The sequence below is a fragment of the Homo sapiens genome, chromosome 5 (assembly GCF_000001405.40).
Source record: "Homo sapiens chromosome 5, GRCh38.p14 Primary Assembly".
NCBI lineage: Eukaryota > Metazoa > Chordata > Mammalia > Primates > Hominidae > Homo > Homo sapiens.
The window spans coordinates 160,842,852-160,864,179 of NC_000005.10; the positions used below are offsets into that span (position 1 = coordinate 160,842,852).

Genomic DNA, 21,328 nt, shown 5'->3' on the forward strand with positions numbered 1-21,328 from the left:
TGGTAATTTCTTCCAAGAGCTAAGGAGTACCATCAATCTTATACAAGTTGTTTCAGAAAACATAAAAATAGAAAACACTTCCCAATTTATTTTATGAGGACAGCAGAGCATTGATACCAAAAGCAGATGAACACCTTAAATAAAATGAAAGAAAAATCCAAAAGTATATTATAGGTCAATCTTTTATAAACATAAAAGCAACAATCCTAAACCAAATATTTCCAGACAAATCCAGAGATTGATAGAAAGGCTAATACATAATGACCAGGTGGCATACATTCCAGGAATGCAAGGCTGGCTTCATGTTAGAAAAGCAACTAATATATTTCAACATAAAGAGGTTTAGAAAAAAGAGGAGATAAGTCATATAATCACTTCAATAGAAGTAGCTATGTGTATATGTGGGAACTGGTAAGGGTTAAAGTGAGTTGGGGATATGTTTAGTTTCAGTTTAGTGAAATATTTTTAGTGGTTTGTGGTCAGCCTTGAGTACTTAATTGCCTTACCTACTGAGTACTTACTGAGTAACTAATTGCCAGCTTTCCAAAGGTAGAAATGGCTTCTAGGTATACCCTATTGCCTGCCTCGTTGATTTAGATGTCAACAAAGAGGAGTATCTAAGCAAACACGTAAGTTACTACCAACAGAGCATTGACAAAAAAAAAAAGCTGTTAATGAGTGTTCCAATTCAAAGAGCACTTAAGCTTACCATGCAACTTAAAAGGAACTGAAAATCTGCAGTTCATTAAAAAAAATCTGATAGAGATTTCCCCAAATTTGACAAATTGTGAACCTAAAGAAACTTTTCTAAACTATATTTAAAAAGTTTTGATCAAACATACTGTAACAAAGACCAATCTATCTCTCCATAAAAAATGAGAATACAAAATTGTTTTGAAGGGGCAATTCAAGAATGTCCAGCAAAAGGACATAGGAACAAAACAATGCAGGGGTGTGATGGGCAGTGAATTCATATTATTTTTCTCAAGTTTTTTTCATTTTGTAATATTTGGGGTTATTTTTTAGCTTTAAAATTTTATACTTTTCTGTAATTTATTTTCTCATTTTTAATAATTACTCATTTTAAACTTAAATTTGTTTAGTATTATTTTCTTAAGTAGAATCCCCAAAATTGAATTAAGCTTTACAAAGTACAAAAATCTGTATATGCCTACATTTACTAGTATTAAAATAACTTCAAATATTAAGGGTTATTTTGAGTAAAACAACTGATACTCTCCAACAACCATGGTGGGAATGTAAATTGGAATAATTAATTTAGAAAACTGTTTAGCAGTATCAGTTAAAGCTCAGCAACTTCACTCCTAAATACATACCCAACAGAAATATATATATATACACACACACACATATATGTGCTAAAAGATATGCCAAAAACTGTTCATAGGAACATTCTTCATAATTGCCCCAACCTGGAAACAATCCAAATTTCCATCAAGAGTAGAAAATGTACGTAAGTTGTGGTGTACTCACATGATAGAAAACCACACACAAATGAAAATTAACAAATGACTATTCCATGAAGCAACAAAAATGAATCTCATAATGAGATTTCTCAAACTTTCTTAGCTCCCTTAGTGTCGTAGGAATTTTTTCACAGGTGCCACCACACCAAAAGAAATACATAATAGTTCTGATTATGAAGTAGTAAGGTCCCAATAACTTAATAAATACTTTGTTTTTTTTTTTTTGAGAAACAGTGTTGGTCTGTCGCCTAGGCTGGAGTGTAGTGGCTCCATATGGGCTCACTGTAATGTCCACCTCCCGGGTTCAAGTGATTCTCCTGCCTCAGCATCCTGAGTAGTTGGGATTACAGGCATGCACCAACATGTCCTGATAATTTTTGTATTTTTAGTAGAGATGGGATTTTGCTACTTGGCCAGGCTGGTCTTGAACTCCTGGCCTCAAGTGATCTGCCCACCTTGGCCTCCCAAAGTGCTGGGATTACAGGCATGAGACACTGTCCCTGACCAATACTTATGTTATAATAACTTAGCGGTCATGTTAAAAATACACATAAATTGAAAGAAAAAAACTGATATTTTTCATCCTTAAATAACCACAAGAAATTACTAATAGGATTTGTGTGCCTGTTGGGCATACCAAAGCTTCTTGAATATTGGAATCAGATCGGATTTGGCCACCCTTATTTGTTTCATGTTGACTTTTGTGTGTACTTGCTTTTAATCACAGATACTCTTGAAAATCTGGTGTTAAAAGATATAGCATCAAAAGAAATGTAGCACAATCTAATGTTGAAACTGAACTACTATGGGCTATTATTTCATTCAGTGTCTGAAAGTTGTCAATTATCACTATGTGACTCTAAAATTTAAAAAATATCCTGCTGTTTCCTTATGAGCACATTGTGGTACCCTGGGATGCTTTAGCCCGCAGTTTGGGAACCATGACTGTGGACATGACATTAAGCAAAAGAGCCAGACACCAAGGAACATATCAGTGTGGTTCCATTCACAGGTTTTAAGAACAGGCAAACTTAGTTCTTGGTGTTGGAAATTAGGAATGTGGTTACATTTGTGAAAAGGGAGAGGGTGGTGACTGGGAAGAGGCACACCAGGACCTTCTCGAAAGCTGGTAGCATTTTATTTCTTGATCAAGTGGTAGCTACATACAAAGTGTTCACTTTGTTATAGTTCATCAAGCTGTGCATTTCAGATTAGTTCATATTGTATGTGTCATAAATGAACAAAAAGTTTTTTTAAAAAAATAAAGTAAAACCATTCTAAACAACAAAATGTAAGAAATCACACCTGAAAGCGTAGAGCCCCCTGTGATACCCAAGCCAAATTAAATACATCTTCCTTCAGAACATTAGTCACTATTCTACAATTATGTGCTAACATTCTGGGGTCTCTGGCTAGACTGTGAGCTATGAGGACGGTCACCATGTCTCATTTATCTCTAATTCTCTAGTGCTTCAAATATGATGACACCAAAGACTGTTAATTATTGTTTAAATAAAAAACATTAAAAAAATACATGTACTAACAAAATTTGGTACACGCTGATGTCTTTTCCCTATCTTATATGAATGCCCCAAGTACTATTGTTTTTATGATCCATCTGTGGTCTTTCTTTTAAAAATATTCTTTTGCTTTGTGGACACTCATTTCTAATCTCCAAAGAGAATACATTTCTAAAAGAAGGGAACACAGACATGCACATATTCCCTTTAAGAATTTATTTATATATATATCACAGAGTTCCAATGCTATTGAAAGGGTAGTGCATAAACTAGTGTCAGTCCACAAACTGTTTACTATTGGGTTGTAGCAAGTTAAGTACAGGCATTGAAAATAGGTATTTAGAAATGAGTGCCTAAATTTGATTCTAGTACAATATCCAAGCATGTGCTCACTAAACTTGCCGTGTTGAGCAGGCTAGGTACCAATTTGGGTATTGTCAAACTCACATGGTGAGTTGTATATGACAGGAACTATATACTAGTCATTCATAACAGAACTAGATATTGGTCCAAGATAGATTGGACAGAAATATCTGGTTCTTCCTCATAGGTAGTTTTTAAGGTTCTGCCATTGACAATTAAAACTGGAAAAGACCAATCCCATTATTTTACAAATGGGAGAATTAAGACCTAGAGTTCACCCAGCTTCTGATCGCCAAGCTAGTAGTTTTTACTCTATAATGCCACCTGTATTCCTTAATGAGTGAGGGTTTGGGATAAAATCAATATTATGATTGCTGCTATTAGCAGTAGTAGCAACTGTAGCTACTACTAATACATATCCAGCGCTTAGTAGGTACCACCACAAAAAATTGCTATTTTTATGTCAAAAATGGTCAAGTATTTATAATTTCACATGGTTCAACTCATATGAAATGCTGATAACAATGTCAAGTGTTTTTAAGCCTTAAAGAAGGAGCATCTGCAGCCAGACTTTTTGGGTTCCCATGTTGGCTCTGTCTCTTCCTGCCACATTGTGGCTGGCAAGTTAATTACATTTTCTCTGGTATAAGTTCCTACATCCACAACATGGAGCTAATAATAGTAACTATCTCAGAGATTTATTGAGGCTTAAATGATCCTATGCGGTTGAAGCCCTTGAAATAGCAACTGGCAGATAGTAAGTACTCAGTTAATGTTAGATGTTCTGGCTACTTCCAATATTACCTCTTCGATTAATTCTCAGGACAATCTTGTGAGGTAGAAACATTTTATCCTCAGTTTATAGATAAGGAGACTGGAGCTCAAAGAGAGTAATTTGAACTGTTGTCTGCATGATTGCAAGCACATTCTCTCTGTCTTACATGCTAATTTTCAGTTCAGTGCCTGTTAAATCAAGTCTAATAGTTCCTGGGGCATTTCATCAGAATTGCCAATATTTGAGTGTATCTAGCTTCTGGGATTCTATAATAGTCAGTTATGTAAAAGACAATGCAAGCTATTTTATCGTCTAAGGAAGAGAAGCAAGTTTCGCCATTTCTCTGTTTTTAGGTCTCCAGATTCACAAGCATATTGTAAGCAATAAATAAGCTGATAACAGCTTCTGATTTTATAACAGTACAGCCTTGCGGTGACCCCTTATGTATTGCTGCTACTTCCCAAAGAACCCCCAAACCTCAGTTAGAACTGTCCCCTGGATTACTGAGAGGGAAAACTCCATGTGGCACCTGCTAACAAGAACCTGTGCTGTTAAACTTGGTTAGTGTTTTATACAAGACCAAAGAAACACTGTCTTCTCTTTTTCTCCTTAAACAGAATAAGTAGTCGAGAAATTCCTTTGAGAAGCAACAAGATTTGATTGAATTTTTCAGAATTTCTTATTATTGTGTCAAGTTCACTTGACAGCAAAGGACAAACTGCCTTTCAAATGCTATAAATGAATGCATCAGCAATTCAGAAGGAAAAACGCGGGTTATTAAGTAGGAACAAGTCTCTCTGAATATATTTACACCAGCTCATGGAAACCATTGTCCTCAGAAACCTCTGCAAAAATCTATTTTCTAGTGTCGGTATTGCTTTAAGTTTGACAGATGATGGTAAAATACAATGAAATTACCTTTGAGCTCTGATATGTATATCAGCGCCCACATCTCTCACAATTTGATTTTTTATTTTTCCAACACAGCCATCTATTTTCAATATTATCCCTGCACACTCCAGGTTTATGCCTGGGGAAAATAACTATTTATGCCTAAGTCATACTTATATGCAGAATTTACACTATATGTAAACATACACACATACAATACACATGTGTAAATACATATTAGTTAAGAGCTGGAAGGAACCTTTCAGATCTTCAAGTCTTTACTGTCACATTACAAATGAAGAATCTGAAGCCCCAACAGAAATGCTATTGAGAAGGCCACACAGAAACCTGACTTCAAAGTGAGATTTGAGAGAATAAGGATGTAGCAAGTTCCTACTATGTTCTGAGGGTTACAGGAGGCATATTCCATTCATAAGTTCTTATACCATTTCTATGATGTTGGTATCACTCCCATTTGATAGATGAGAAAATTGAGGCTTACAAAAGTAGCACAGCTAAGAAAATAGCACAGCTAATAAATGGCACAAATGAAATTAAAGCACTGATGTAACTAGGTTCTTTCTAGCATACCAGCATTTCTCTAAATACATTCACTGCCATATCACTGACATAATTTTGCTAATCCACGTGCCAACTGTATTTTAACTTTTTTGATTAATTAATGTAAACATTTATAAAGGAAAAGTTTATCACCATTTAAATAGCATGCCATAAAGAGAAGAAAACTATTGCTGAGTTTTAGCTGGACCCTGCTGCTACCTAAAGACATCAAAATTGCATCCAGCTCTCTTTGTTGAAATGGGAGATTAGCAATGGGTAGAGAGGTATTAAAGGTCTAGTCATACCAAAATGAGACTTAATGATGGAAAGAGAGTTGAGAGGGAAAACTTTTACTATGTGATCTAGCTATTTGATATAATACGTGAGTATCACCTAAAGTCATCTTTGTCCTACCTAAGATCATTTTTGGTTCTATCATGGTACCTGTTCTTCACTTTGAGAAACACTGCAGTACATATAGTAACTGGGCATGTTCTCCAGGTCATGGTTCTGGAACTCCATCAGAATCACCTGAAGGCCTATTTAAAACAGATTTCTGAGTGATCCCGAGTTTCTGACTCAGCATGTCTGCGGCAGGGCCTGAGGTTTTGCCCTTCTAATAGTTCCCGAGTAATTCTGATACAGCCGGCCCAGGAAGCATATTTGGGAACCACTGCTCTAGGTTGTACTTGGGGAGGAGGAGGTAGAGAACATACGGTAGCATGTGTGTGAAGATTTCACCATCAATCTTGCTTGTGAGTGGAGGGATCTGGAATTTTTAATTAAGCAGATGAGGCAAAGAAACAATGTATTCTTGTGTTCCTGTGTCACTTCTTCAACTTAATGAGTTCAGATTGATACTGCACCATACCAGAGCGACCTGCAAAAACTTTATCTAAGAGACAAAAGTACCTCCTCTCAAATAATACAAGTTGTTTTCAGGCTGCTAACTATCTGCAAGGCTCCCTGCATTGGCAACAGCAGCCAGTGATCACTAATAACGAAAGCAGAAAATGAGATTCTCCTTCTTTTCTCCAGACGTTTAAGACAGTACTTAATAAACAAAAAATGCCATATCCATTAATATTCTTTCTCATCTGGTTCTCTTAGTAGTAACTAGCAATTATTAAGTGCCTTCTGTGGGCCAATTATTGAATTGTACTGGCAATTACACACACACACACACACACACACTCTTTTAATGTGAGCATTTGACAGGCGCAGTAACTTGCCAAGGTTACACAATTATAGGAAGCAGAACTGTAATTCATATGCAAGTTTTATTCCAAAGCCCGTTTTTTTTCTACTAAACAATACCCACTCCTATTCTGACTACCCAACTTCATCTCTTAATAAAAGGGTATTTTATAAAAAATGAAAAGAAGAAAAGGCTCCAGAAACTTAAACTTTGTAGTTAAAAGAATTGTAAAACAATGTCACCAGAAAATGAGAAATCAGTGACATTTAATCAGCAGAAAAGCTAGAACTCCCTAGGTTCAAAGCAAAATTTAAGAATGCCTGGCTAAGTTTTACTTTAAGGAGAGTGGGTAAATGGGTAGAATCAGTCTCAGGAATCCAACGAGTTTTAGTTTACTTTTGAGTCACAAAAGAAATTTTCATTCCCTTCTGACATGGCAGAAGCTGTTTGAAGAATGAAAGTGGTAGTAGAAGCAACACTGGGCCAGGTGCGGTGCTTACGCTTGTAATCCCAGCACTTTGGGAGGCTGTGGGCGGATCACCTGAGGTCAGGAGTTCGAGACCAGCCTGGCCAACATGGTGAAACTCCGTCTCTACTAAAAAACAAAAAACAAAAAACAAAACAAAAATTAGCCAGGCATGGTGGTGCATGCCTGTAATCCTAGCTACTTGGGAGGCTGAGATGGGAGAATTGCTTGAATCCAGGAGGCAGAGGTTGCATTGAGCTGAGATTGCGCCACTGCACGCCAGCCTGGGTGACAGAGCAAGACTCCATCTCAAAACAAAACAAAATAAACAAGAAGAAGCAACACTGGATTGAGAGCTCTGAGCCTTGGACTCTGGTGTCCTTTTCTCTCAGTAATTCAGACTTCATTTCTCTAGGTCCTAGTTTTATCATCTGTAAACTAGGCAGCTAGACTAAGTTCCATTCCATTCCTCAGAGCTCCGTTCCTTTGAAAGGCAGCCTCCTTCACTGGACTTATCAGTATCACATGCTTCAAAAGATAAGGCTCATCGTTTAGCACGAGAGGAGTATGATTTAACTGTAAAAAGTCAGCATGTGGGTTTCAACCTTCAGTTTCTCAAGAGCCTATTAATCCACCCATATGTGATGTTATACTGCTATACTCTTTAAAAAATACATGATGAAAACCTGAGGAGAGATCCTGAACCCTTAAATCCATATAATTAGGCTGTAAGAAATGAATTTTCCAAGAATTTTTTAAAAAGTCATCAATGGATGAAATGACAAACTCAGTGGGTGTTATTAAGAGTAATTATAGTAACATCTAGACAGAAAACAACATCTGTGATCTGCCTGATTAATGGCTTAATGTAACTGTATGTCTGTTAATGGAATAATACTCCAAGCAGTCTTGACTGTACATTTGCAAGATCTGGAAACAGAGAAGAAACTGTGGAAGAAGGAAGTAGCAGAGTGCCAGATTGGCTTTGGGAGGTCAAGCTCCTCTCTACAGTTTTCAAATTCTCCTCTGCCTACCTGGCAAATTCAGAGAAAATTGCCTGGCAAATTCAGAGAAAAACCAAGTTCCACCAGACACAGGCATGCACTCCTGTAGGCAAAATAACTAGCAGCTCAGTATAATTTTTATTTTTAACATTACTTTTCACCTTAGGGTTAGGGATAGTGTCACTCCAGCCTTAATAGCAGGCCACAGGACTGTCCTAAATGTATTCATCACAGACCTGCATGCATGGGGCTTTTTTATTTTTTTTCTGGAAGGAGTAACTCATACTTAGGGAAAAAACACATTTTTCTTTAAGCAACAGTTTTCTCCTTTGAACTCAAAGGAAAGTCAAGCTTCCCACCTATAGTTGAAAACTACTGCAATATGGCAGCTTCAGAGTTTATCAAGATGAAATTGGGAAGCCATGTAATGATCTCATTCTCTTCCTCAAAGCTATAGTTTCTTTCTGCTTTGAGAAGAAGGCTGTAACTCCATCTGCTTCCTCAGGCTGCACTGGATGAATGCAGGATAGCAGGATATATTATTTATCATAAAATGTATTCAGGCACATTCAGACTGCAAGCCCTGTTGAGTGAGGAAGTAGCATTTGCCATCAGCTTATCATAATGAAATCAATTGACGAAAAATAAAACATTCTGTTAGAAAAGAAATGTGGATCTCGCACCCAGAAAGCCAAATGAAATTTCAAATGCAGTGTAAAGAAAAGTAGTCATATCCTGGGCCTAATTCAGAACTTAGACTTGATGATTCTAAGAGGCAATTACTCCCCCATTATATAGGTTAAGGCCAGGATGCTTTTACTTACCCCAGCAAAGCTGACGTCCCTATTGAGCAGACTCCAGTAGAAGAAAACAGTGCTTGAAAGTGGCGGTATTTCTCTCGCACACCTTGGCTAAAATAGTTCTCTTTCCTATGGAATTTTTCATTTTTCTGATTATATCTGATTATGTCAAGGCAAGGCCTCAAGCTAACACTCCCTCAGAAACTTAGAGAAGATGACACACTGAAAAGAAATAACTGTGACCAATGAAAGAAAAAGGAAAAATAAGCTGCCTCGCTAGGCCCAAGAGTGAAAGAGAAGAATAGCAAGTCTGTGAATGTGAGGCCGAGTCCCAGAACAGTGAAGGCAGTGTTCTTCGACTTGGCTGAACATTTACATTGTTAGACATGGTTCTTGCATAAATTTCTACTTCCTGTGAATCAATGAGCCAGCAATATCAAAATTCATGGTGATTTTTATTCTCTACGCATGGTACAAAATGACTTTGTCCATCTACCTTTGGTAATGCATGTAATTAAGTGTGAGACAATTATAACCTTGCAGTTCTCTTTGGGGGGCCTGAAATATGATTCAGCTGCTGGGTTTCAAGGGCACTTAAGAAAGAAAAGACTCTCTACAGTGACTTTTATATGCATGCTGATGATGAATTTGCCCTCAAAGCTTCAGAAGTCTCATTTTGCAGTAGTCATAGTTTTTATTGATTACTGTTTGATTATACAAAATAAGGAAAGTGGGACCAATATATTATAGTGGCAGATTATGTGAATGGTGCAAACTTACAGAAAATCAGAATTAGTAATGGGCTTATTGATAGCTTCGATTCATACCCTAAAATGAGATTTTCATGTATAATCCTTTTATTAAGTTACCTACAACTCAACTAATTGGCATAAATGTCATGAGCAAGTTGCTGTATTGATGGATAATTATTGATGGGTCCATAAATAAAAGAGAAGGTAGAATGAGCAGTAAGTTGATTTTAAGGGTAGTAAAAAAAAGAAATATTACCAAACTTAGGAATAAAAGGTGTTGGAAAGAAGTGAACATACTAACTTCATGAAAATCTTTACATAAGATTTTGGTTGGTTGGTAGAGTAATTGTGAACTTTGTATGTACCTACAGATCTTATCAGAATACCAAGAAGAAACATGGACATAGGAAACATTTTACAAGAGAAGAAACACCCACACCATCTAAAATCTGCATCGCTGTGTGTGTAAGACACAAGCTAGGAATTTTTAAGAACATGAAATTTGCCTATGCTTTAGACAGTCTAGAATTTTTAAAAGAGCGAGTTGGCATTTCAAAATTCTCCATCTGCTAAAGAGAAGAATGCTTAAGTCCCTGTTCCTTTACTTCCCTTCACTCAGAGTGCTCTGGCTTCTAGGGACGAGTGTGGTCTAGAATCACAGATACGGTTAAATTGCAGAATATTGCACTAGTGGGTAACTGGAGGTTATTTAGTGAAGCCCCCTTGTGCCATGGAGGAGAATGCTGAAGCTCAGAGAAGTGAATACAATTGCTCAAAGCCAAACAGGAATTTGGTGGTGAACATGGGACCTCAAACCACATTGTCTTTCTCCTAAGACTAGTATATTTTCCATCACTGGTCTTTCTCCTAAGACCAGCTCTTTCCCATTATCACTTTCCTGGTAAAGAGAGAGGCACATGCAATTTAGGAACAAATGTGTCTGTAGCATCCCTTGGGTTTTCATGCTAACCAATGAATAGAGAGTCCTCAAATATGTTCATTTTCCAAACTGCCTGGAAATCGTAAATACTAACAGACATATGGCAAATTATTTATAAAATGTGTTGAAATTAAGTGACACTGTCTGGCTAATTAGAACCCTAATAAACAAATAATAGATAAGAAATGCTATGTTCAGTTTTTATTAGAGGGACTATCTTTCTTTTGTTTGGCTGCTGGAATTTTGTAATAAATCATATTTTAAAAATCACACTCACAGAGTTTTACTTATAGTTCCTATTTCCAGCAGGCAATCTTTCTACACTAAGGCAATTTAGCATTTTTGTATGTATTTGCATTTCTTATTGACCACATCATGCTTTTCATTCCTGATTTTTACACAGTGTGTCATGTCTAGCTTTTGTATTCTTGCTGCCCAAACTAGTCAATTAAAGAAGCAATGGTAGACAGAGGCTTTTGCTCCCATCCCCGACACCAGTACCACACAACCAGGATGGATTTCATAATCTTAAGACTATCTTCTACAAGCTGTGCAAGTGTTATTAGTGGTAATTTTTATTTTTTATTATACTTTAAAGTTCTGGGATACACATGCAGAACATGCAGGTTACATAGGTATACACGTGCCATGGTGGTTTGCTGCACCCATCAACCCGTCACCTACATTTGGCATTTCTCCTAATGCTATCCCTTCCCCTAGCCCCCCAACCCCTGACAGGCCCCAGTGTGTGATGTTTCTTCCCTGTGTCCATGTGTTCTCATTGTTCAACTCCCACTTATGAGAACATGTGGTGTTTGGTTTTCTGTTCCTGTGTTAGTTTGCTAAAAATGATGGCTTCCAGCTTCATCCATGTCCCTGCAAAGGACATGAACTCATCCTTTTTTATGGCTGCATAGTATTCCATGGTGTGTATGTGCTACATTTTCTTTATCCAGTCTATCATTGATGGGCATTTAGGTTGGTTCCAAGTCTTTGCTATTGTGAACAGTGCTGTAATAAACATACCTGTGCATGTGTCTTTATAGTAGAATGACTTATAGGGTATATACCCAGTAATGGGATTGCTGGGTCAAATTGTATTTATGGTTCTAGATCCTTGAAGAATCTCCGCACTGTCTTCTACAATGGTTGAACTAATTTACACTCCCTATTGGTGCTAATTTTTACTGAGTACTTTGTGCCAGCACCATGTTAAGTGCTCTACATACTTTGACTCATTTAATTCCCTCAAAAACTTTAATAGATTGACGCAATTATTCTTATTCTACGAGAGAGAAAATGTAGGAAAAGGAATAAAATAACTGTGCTTTCACATAACTAGGAAGTATCTGGGACTCAAACTACAGATTGTTTAACCATTCACCTTTGAAGGACATCTGAGTTATTTCCAGCTCTGTTATAAAGTTGCTATAAACATTTGTGCACAGGTTTTGTGTGAATAGAAGTATTTTTCTAGAATAAATGCACAGACAGAAGTTTAATTCCTGGATTGTATGGTATGTTTAGTATTTTAATAAATGCTTGTTTAGTATTTTAATCCTAGATGTATTTGCACGTTTAGTATTTTAAGAAACTGCGATATTCTTCCAGAGTGACTATACCATTTTACTTTCTTACCAGAAATGTGTGAGGGCCCTAGTTTCTCCGCATCCTCACCAGCATTTGGTGTTGTCACTACTCTTTAGTTATTTCAATAGGTGTATAGCAATATCTCATTTTGGTTTTAATTTGCATTTTCCTAATGGATAATGATGTTGAGTATCTTTTTATGTGCTTATTTCTCAGTTATATATTTTGTTTGGTGAAATATTTCTTAATGTCTTTTGCTTATGTTTTAATTAATTTTTGTTTGTTTTTTTTTTAGTTTTGAGTGTTCTTTATATACTATACCTTTGTCGGATATGTGGTTGGGAAATGTTTTCTTTCAATCCATAACTTATCTTTTTATCCCCTTCACAGGGTATTACACAGATCAAAAGGTTTATTTACATCAATTTTTAAAGCAATATTGAATCAATTTTCCTTTTCACTCTTTGCATACTTCTAAATCTTAAATATTTATCCTATTTCTCTAAAAATTTTATAATTTTATGAATTACATTTAAGTCTATGATCCATTTTGAGTTAAATTTTGTGTAAACTGTAATGTTAAGATCAAGGTTTCCTTGTGTGTTTATTTGGATTTTCAATTGTACTAGAACCACTTGTTTTATGACTGTCCTTCCTCCATTGAATTGTTCTTGTAACTTTGTAAAAAAAAAAATTAGTTGCATATTTGTGTGGATCTATTTCTGGATTCTGGATTCTTCTCCATTGTTTATACCCCTGCCAGTACCAGTCTTGATGACTATAATCATATAAATCTTAAAATCAGGTAGATAGATTCCTTCCACTTTATTTTTTTTCAAAATTGTTTTAACTATTCTTGGTTTCATGCTTTTTCATATAAATTGTATAATAATCTTGTCTGTACCTAGAAAAAACTTTTTGGATTTTGATAGTGATTGTATTAAATTCATATACTAATTTGGGAAAAATGGACATCTTTACTATTTGAATAGTCCAATCAATGGACATAGTGTGTCTCTTCATCTATGTAGGTCCTCTTTCATTTATGTTATCAACATCGTGTAGTTTTTAGCATATGAGTCCTGTACACATTTTGCTTGCTGCACATATGTTCTGGCTGGTATACCAAAATAGAATAAATTTCTGTATGTTTATCTTGTATTCTGCAATTTTGGTGACTTGCTCATTAGTTCTAGGAGTATATTGTAGATTCCTTGGATTTTCTACAAAGACAATCATGTCACCTGCAAATAGAAACGGTATTATTTCTTCCTTTCTAATATGTATGCCTATTATTTTATTTTCTTGCCTTATTGCACTCACTGAAACTTTTAAGGCTATGTTGAATAAAAGTGATGAGAGTGAACATCATTGTCTTGTTCTCAGTCTCAGGGGGAAAATATTAAGTCTGTCACTAATAAGTATAATGTTAGCTGTATATTGTATGTAGATGATTTGAGTTGTATGTAGATGATTTGTATGTAGATTTGTATGTAGATGATTTGAGTTGAGGGAGTTCTCTTGTATTTCTATTTTACTGAGATATTTTTTATCGTGAATGGATTTTGAATTAGTTTTTTCCTGCATTAATTCCATTTGAATTTAATTAATGCATTAATTGATATGATCATGTAATTTTTCTGCTTTAGCTAGTTAATGTGGTCTATTACATTAATTGATTTTCAGATCTTGACCTAGCTTTGCATACCTGAAATAGACTCCATTTGGCCATCATGTATAATTTTTTAATTGATGAATTTTGTTTTCTAATATTTTGTTAATAACTTTTGCATTTATATTCATGAAGGCTTTGGGTCTATAATTTTTTATACTGTTTTTCCTGGTTTTGATATCAGGGTAATACCAGCTTCATAAAACAATTTGAGATATAACCTATTCTACTTTATCTTCTGGAAAATATTTACAGAATTTGAATTAATTTTTCTTTAAACAAATTGTAGGATTCCCCAGTGAAATCATCTGGGTCTGGAAATGTCTTTTTTGGAAGTTTTAAAATAACAAATTCAGTTTCCTTAACAGATATAGAGCTATTGGAAGTATCTATTTTGCATTCAGTGAGTTTTGGTAGTTTGTATTTTTTTTTTTAAGGAATTGGTCCATTTTGTCTAGAGTTGTCTATATTATTTTCTTATTATCCCTTGATTCTGCTGTGTCAGTGGTGATATCCATTTCATTTTTGATATCGGTAATTTTTGTCTATTCTCTTGTCAGTCTTGCTGGAGGTCTATTAATTCTATTTGTTGATCTTTTAAAAGAACCAGCTCTTTGCTTTGTTGATTTTCTTGTTTTCAATTTTAGGGATTTCTGTTTTTTAATTTATTTCCTTGTGTTTGCTTTGGGATATTTTTATCTTCTTTTTCTATATTTCTGAGATGGAAGCTTAGATTATTAGAGAAAATTTTCTCTTTTCTAGCATAGGCATTTAGTGATATAAATTTCTCTCTTGGCATTGCTTTAGCTGTGTCCCATTAATTTTACTGTGTTGTATTTTAAATTTTTGTTCAGTTCAATGTATTTTTCCCTTGAGATTTGCTGTTTTATTCATGAGCTATTTAGATGTGTATAGTTTAATTTTCAAGTGTTTTCAGATTTCTTTTATCTTTCTATAACTAATTTCTAGTTGGATTTCATTATGGTCAGAGAATGCACTCTGTACAATTTTAATTATTTTAAATTTGTCGACATTCATTTTGTGGCTCAGAATATATTATTTCCTGGTATTTGTTTGATGGCACTTAAAGAGAATGAATATTCTACTTTTCTTGGGGGAGAAGTATTCTACAATTGTCTATTAATCTGTTTTATTTGATGTAAAATTTTTATATTCGATTTTTTATTTTTTAAAAATCAATTGAGAGTGGGGTATTGTGGAATTGTCCATTTTTCCTCCTTTCAGTCATATTGGTTTTTGTTTTACATGCTTTGTGACTATGTTGTTTGGTGCATACATATTTAAAATTGTGTCTCCCTGGTGGATTGAGCTTTTGACCATTATATAATGTCTCTGTCTCTGGTAATTTTCTTTGTTCTGAAGTTTACTTTGTCTGATATTAATATAGGTACTTTTGTTTTCCTTGGATTAATGTCTCCATAATATATCTTTTTCCATCCTTTTATTTTTAATCTGCTTATATTGCTGTATTTGAAGTCAGTTTCTCGTAGAAAGCATGTAACTGATCATTTTAAAATCTACTTTGTCTATCTTTTTTTTAAAATAAATTTTGAATTTTGTTTCTCAAGTCACTGGTATGTAAACTGTGTTCCTTGGAGTCCCAGATATTTTCCACCTGCCAGTGGGTCTGTAACTGGAGGAAAAAGGCAGGCTGCATGGTGAGGTTCCAGGCCCCAAACCCCATGTTTTAATTGGCATAATCACTTGCATATAATGTGATTATTAATATGTTAGGGACTAAGATTACCATTTTGTCTTTTTCTTGTTTTCTTTTTCTTACCTTCCTGTGGTTGTTTGAACAGTTTTTTAGAATTCCATTTTCAGCTTTTGCATTTTTGAGTATATCTCTTTGTATAGCTTTTTGAATGATTTAGATATTGTATTATATATACACAACTTATTACAATCTATAGTTTTATCATTTTACCAGTTTGAGTGACATATAAAAAATTTACTTCTTTTCTCCTTCCTAATTTATAATATAATTTTCATAAATATGTCCTCTACATATATTTAGAAGCAAATGAAACGTGTCATAATTTTTACTTCAATAGTGAAACATAATTTAGAAAGTTTAAGAAAAGCCTATTGCATTTAGCTATTTTTTTAAATTAACATGTTATATTTTCCTTTCTGATGTTCCAAGATTACTTATTTTGTCTTTCCTTTTTGTTTAGAGAACTTCTCTTAGCCTTCTTTTAAGATAAGTCTGCTGGCAACTAATTCCCTTGGTTTTCCTTCATTTGCAAATGTCTTTTATTTCCCCCTTTATTTTTTTGTTTGTTTTCACATATAGCATTGATCCCTTTTGTTTTTAAAGGATGTTTTTACTGGGTATAGAATTATGGATTGAAACTTCTCATATAGAACTTAAAAAATATTTTTGTACTTCCTTCTGGCCCCCATGATTTTTAATGAGAAATACTCTGTCATTTAAATTATTCTTCCTCTAAGGTAAGCCATTATTCTTTTTCTGGTTGGTTTCAATATTTTTTTCTTTGTCTTTGCCTTTCAGAAGTTTAATTATATCTTGGTGTAGATTTCTTTGAATTTATTCTGTTTGGGATTTCCTCACCTTCTTAAATCTGTAAATTCAAAGCACAGGCCCCCTCCCCATAATCCCCCTTCAAATGTCCTTTAAATTTTAGATAAGTCTGTTCTAATCCCAGTCTTCTGTATATCTAAAATACATCTTTTATCTTGCTCTTTGGCACTCTACTATTTATCTTCCAGGCACAGTAAAAAACAGAAAGCAAAAAGCTCAGAAATCTGGAATTTATTAACATCTAGAGTTGATTGTTTCCCACTGCTTGTTGGAAATGGTTTGTATATCCAACACTGGTGACTGGTGACTAGATAACTAAGTTTAGTATGGCCGTCAGGTATGCTTAGTAACTTGGAGACATTGTAATATATTCTAATTGAGAAAAGAAACTTGTGCAGGGTAACTCCATTTATAAATAATGGCCTATATGTGCATCTTTGTGTGACTGGATATTTGCACGAACACAGTGATAGTATCTAAGGACCCATTTTGTGATGTCAACTCTACTTGTTGCAGAAATGTAGAAATAGCTTAATTTTTACTTGTACGTCTTTCGTTTATTATGAATAAATGTATATTACTCTTTTTATTTCTAAAAAATATAAAACAACGTACAAAGCCATTATATTTCCTTTGTGAAGATAATCTCTTTTTGGGGCAATAGTATGTTTTCCAACGATATTCAATTGTCTGCCCAGGGTTCTTGACTTTTGTACACTTAAGGATAATTTGGCTCATGAAATGAAAGCCAACTCTTGATTACTGGGAATGAATTAACTTATGTTTATCAAAGTTAAACAAATGTACAAATGTATAAAGTAGTAGAAAATATAAAATCTTAATAAATTTGTTAAAACAAGAATATATTAAAAGATATCTACTATACAGAATTAGAGAATATCTAGTAAATGTCACATTGTTTCTGTTATGATAATTACAGGACTGATTCACTAACTAAATGAGATAAGTTTAATGGGTCTTGTCTACCTTTCCCCAACATTAGGCTTGGTTCTTCCTCTAGATACATGTAAAGCAAATTTTTAGAAATGAGTTTGAAGGAATATGAAATCTCCTACACCAATTAATTTGATTTCTGAAAGAATTTTAGAAGGTAAAGATGAAACAACAATGAAGAAACTTTATACTAAACAATGTTGAAGGGGGCATGAACAGACTCAGCTAAAAAACATCAGCAACTGCAGGTTGCCTTAGTGGATAACTTTTTGGTCCTTTGTCATAAAGTATTTTATGTGATATTCAGTGCTCCAAAACCAGATATCACACAATGGTAAAAATCTGCAAAGATATTTTGTTTAGCCTTCACATACTTAAATTTTAGATTCATTGGCAGCATTCAAACATTGGGAGATTTCTCATGAGAATGAAGCTATATTTTTCAAGAAACAAGTCAAAAAAACTGTTGATGATGGGTACATATTCCCACAAGTCAAGTGCTGGCCATTGCTGAATAATGGCCATCCACTTTGGACAGGGCACAAGTATCCCCATTCCCCACCCAAACTGCTTCAGTAGGTCATATTATTTGCCTGGCCTCTGTAGCAACTCAGTTTTTAACTTCTATCTTAAAAGATTATTTTCATACTTCTTTACTTTGCTCTTTAGGATGACACTATATAATAATACTGTGTTTCAGAATCTGATGTGTAATTTTGCTTAATTTTTATCAAGTGCATTTTGTACCATCTTTTGGCCATTTTTGTTTTACTCATGATTTTGACTTTGCCATGACCTATTTTCCTTTAATTTTTCCAGTTAATCAAAAGGTGGCTGAATAGTAAGGAAGAAATTGATATTGCTATTTTACACACTAGAATAGAGAACTACCTACCATAATTCTCTTTTCTGCTCATTTTATCAGCTTACTAATTTTTAGCATATAAAACATGAATAAAAATCTCTCCAAAATAAATATTTTGATGATTATGGAATGAAACTTGTAACTTACTAAATTCTGAAGAAAGTTTTAAAATAAAATAACTGAATACTGATGTTGAAATGTTTATATCAAAAATTTAAATAGATACTTTATAGCATTAGGTAAGTCACAAAAGGGGGTCACAAAATAAGCTTGTAATTTTTTGTTCAAATCAATGCATGAGGAGAAAGGGATTAGTTTTGATATTCGTAAAGTATGGAAAAGTTTTTACACTGTATATGCTGTGCAGTAGAAGACATTCATAATTATTTATGCTGAATACAAGGAGAAGTATTGAGTTTTTTCTATTGATAAGAAAAAAGGTAATATAATCCCTCTATTTGTATAGGATAGTGGTTCTCATACCTTTTCGAATCAGGGCTCCTTTACACACTTAAAAATTATTTAGGACCTAAATGAGTTTTTATTTATGTGGGTCTATATTTACTGTATTAGAAACTTAGACATTTTAAAATAATTTACTTCTTTAAAAATAACAATATATCTATTACATCTTAACAAATGGCATATTTTAATGATAAGTAACTATATTTTCCAAAACAAAAAATTAGGAAGAATTTTTCTTTCATATTTGGACTAATAGAAAATAGGTTCTCATATCTGCTTATGCATTCAGTGTTTTGTGCTGTGTTGTTTTGGTTGAAGTACATGAAGAAATATCCAGCCTCATACATAATTGGTAAAAGGGGAATTAGTGCCTCTTTGAAAGGATTTTGGGACTATGGTGGTTAGTTTTCTGTGTCAACTTAGCTAGGCTACAGTCATCAGTTGTCTAGTTGAACACTAATCTAGATGTTGCCATGAAGGCGTTTTGTAGGTCTAAAGCCCATAATCAGTTGATTTTAAACAGGAGAGATTATTTTATATACCCTGAGTGGACCTGATTCAATCGGTTAAAAGGTCACAGAAGCAGAGCTAAGCCTTCTGTGAAGAAGAAAGTTCATCTGTGGATAGCAGTGTTAGCTACTGCTGGATAATTCCAGCCTGCCCTTCCTGATGGTTTACCCTGTGGATTTCACACTTACCTGGCCAGTCTCCATAATCACATAAGTCAATTTCTTGCAATAAGTTTATTCACTGATACCTCCTACAGGTTTCTCTGGTTAAACTGTGACTGATACAGGGACCCTGTGGGGTCCTCAGCCCTTACTTTGAGAATCGCTGGTATACAGTATTCTTTATAAAGCCTTTCATGTCACTAACCTAATTGGCTTAACATAATAATTATGTAGAGCCAATAAGGCAGAAATTGTTACTTCTATCCCAAAAGAGGGTATTTACCAAATGGTACAATCCATCAGCAGCTCTTAATCTTGATCCTTAAATTTCCAGTTCCTATTTCAATCCTTTATCAATCTTTATTCTTTACCATAATAACCTTCTAATATATTTGGAAACATATTTGCAGAAATAGATATTCATATTTTTAATACACATATGCCACATAAAAGTTCCTTGGAAACAGACCATAGGATAGAAAATATATCTTACCTATACATACTTGTTAGCCAAAAATGTATCAAATATTGATTACATAACTATTTCTAAGATATGAATAATAGTGATACAAAAGAAACATAGTGCTTTCTGTTCAAGAAGGTTGTAATTTAACATAGACAGATATGATTATTCACCTCTAAATATATGAGATGATATTTGATAAAGTGATTTGAAATCTAATTCTACTGGTGCTTATTTGAACCTCAGGCATTGGAACAGGTTCACTTTAATCTTTTTCAGCTACTTCCATTATGGGATGGAGTTCCTACCCAATATCTGATGCTCCCACTCGTTAGTGAGTTTATGGAAGACAGGGATAATAACCAATCAGCAGGTGCCTGGTAACAGCCTGTTAATTGAATGGTTGTCTGAGGTCCTAGAGAATGGTTACAACACAGAAAGGTGAAAGGGAAGAGAAAAAGTAAAAAAGTTGGGAGAAATGGCAAAACCAAAGAATGGAAGATGGAATATAAGACAATAAAATGAAAACTGAACTGGAGGAGAGGGCATGTGTTAAAAAGTAACAAGAGACACAACCTATCAAAACCTCTGGGATACAGCAAAAGCTGCGTTAAGAGGAAAGTTCATAGCATTAAATGCCCACACCAAAAAGTGTGAAAAAGCATAAATAGACAACCTAATCTCTCACCTCAAGAAACTAGAGAAACAAGAACAAACCAAATCCAAACTCAGCAGAAGAAAAGAACAAAGATCAGAGAACTAAATGAAATTGAAACAAAAAAATACAAGGGATAAATGAAACAAAAAATGATTTCTTTGAAAAGATAAATAAAATTGGTAGACCATTAGCAGTATTAACCAAGAAGAGAGAAGATCTGAATAAGCTCAATTAGAAATGAAACTAGAGACATTACAATTGGTATCACAGAAATACAAAAGATCATTCAAGGCTACTATTAACACCTTTATGCACACAAACTAGAAAATATAGAGGAGATGGATAAGTTCCTGGAAATATGCAACCCTCCTAGATTAAACTAGGAAGAAATAGAAACCCTGAATGGACCAATAACAAGCACAGAGATTAAATCAATAATAAAACGTATTGCCAACAAAAAAGTGCAGAATCAGATGGATTCACAGCTGAATTATATCAGGCATTCAAAGAAGAATTGGTGCCAATCCTACTGAAACTATTAAAGATAAAGAGGGAATCCTCCCTAAGTTATTCTATAAAATCAGTATCACCCTAATGCCAAAACAAGAAAGGACATAAAAAATAGGAAAACTACAGACCAACATCCCTGACGCAAAAACATAGACGC

The 21,328-nt window shown here is 34.4% G+C and overlaps 1 protein-coding gene across 12 annotated transcripts in view; it reads right to left on the reverse strand.

Moving 5' to 3' along the window:
* ATP10B (ATPase phospholipid transporting 10B (putative)) overlaps positions 1–21,328 on the reverse strand; it is a 366,241-nt gene that overhangs the window by 279,732 nt on the left and 65,181 nt on the right. For 8 of the 12 annotated variants that reach the window (NM_001366652.1, XM_011534469.2, NM_001366657.1 and 5 more), the window contains exon 1: positions 9,090–9,360. The exons of the other annotated variants lie outside the window; for them this stretch is intronic. The gene's annotated coding sequence lies outside the window, so the exon portion shown is untranslated. Of the gene's footprint in view, positions 1–9,089; positions 9,361–21,328 lie in introns of those variants that run through there. 12 annotated transcript variants of the gene reach the window in all.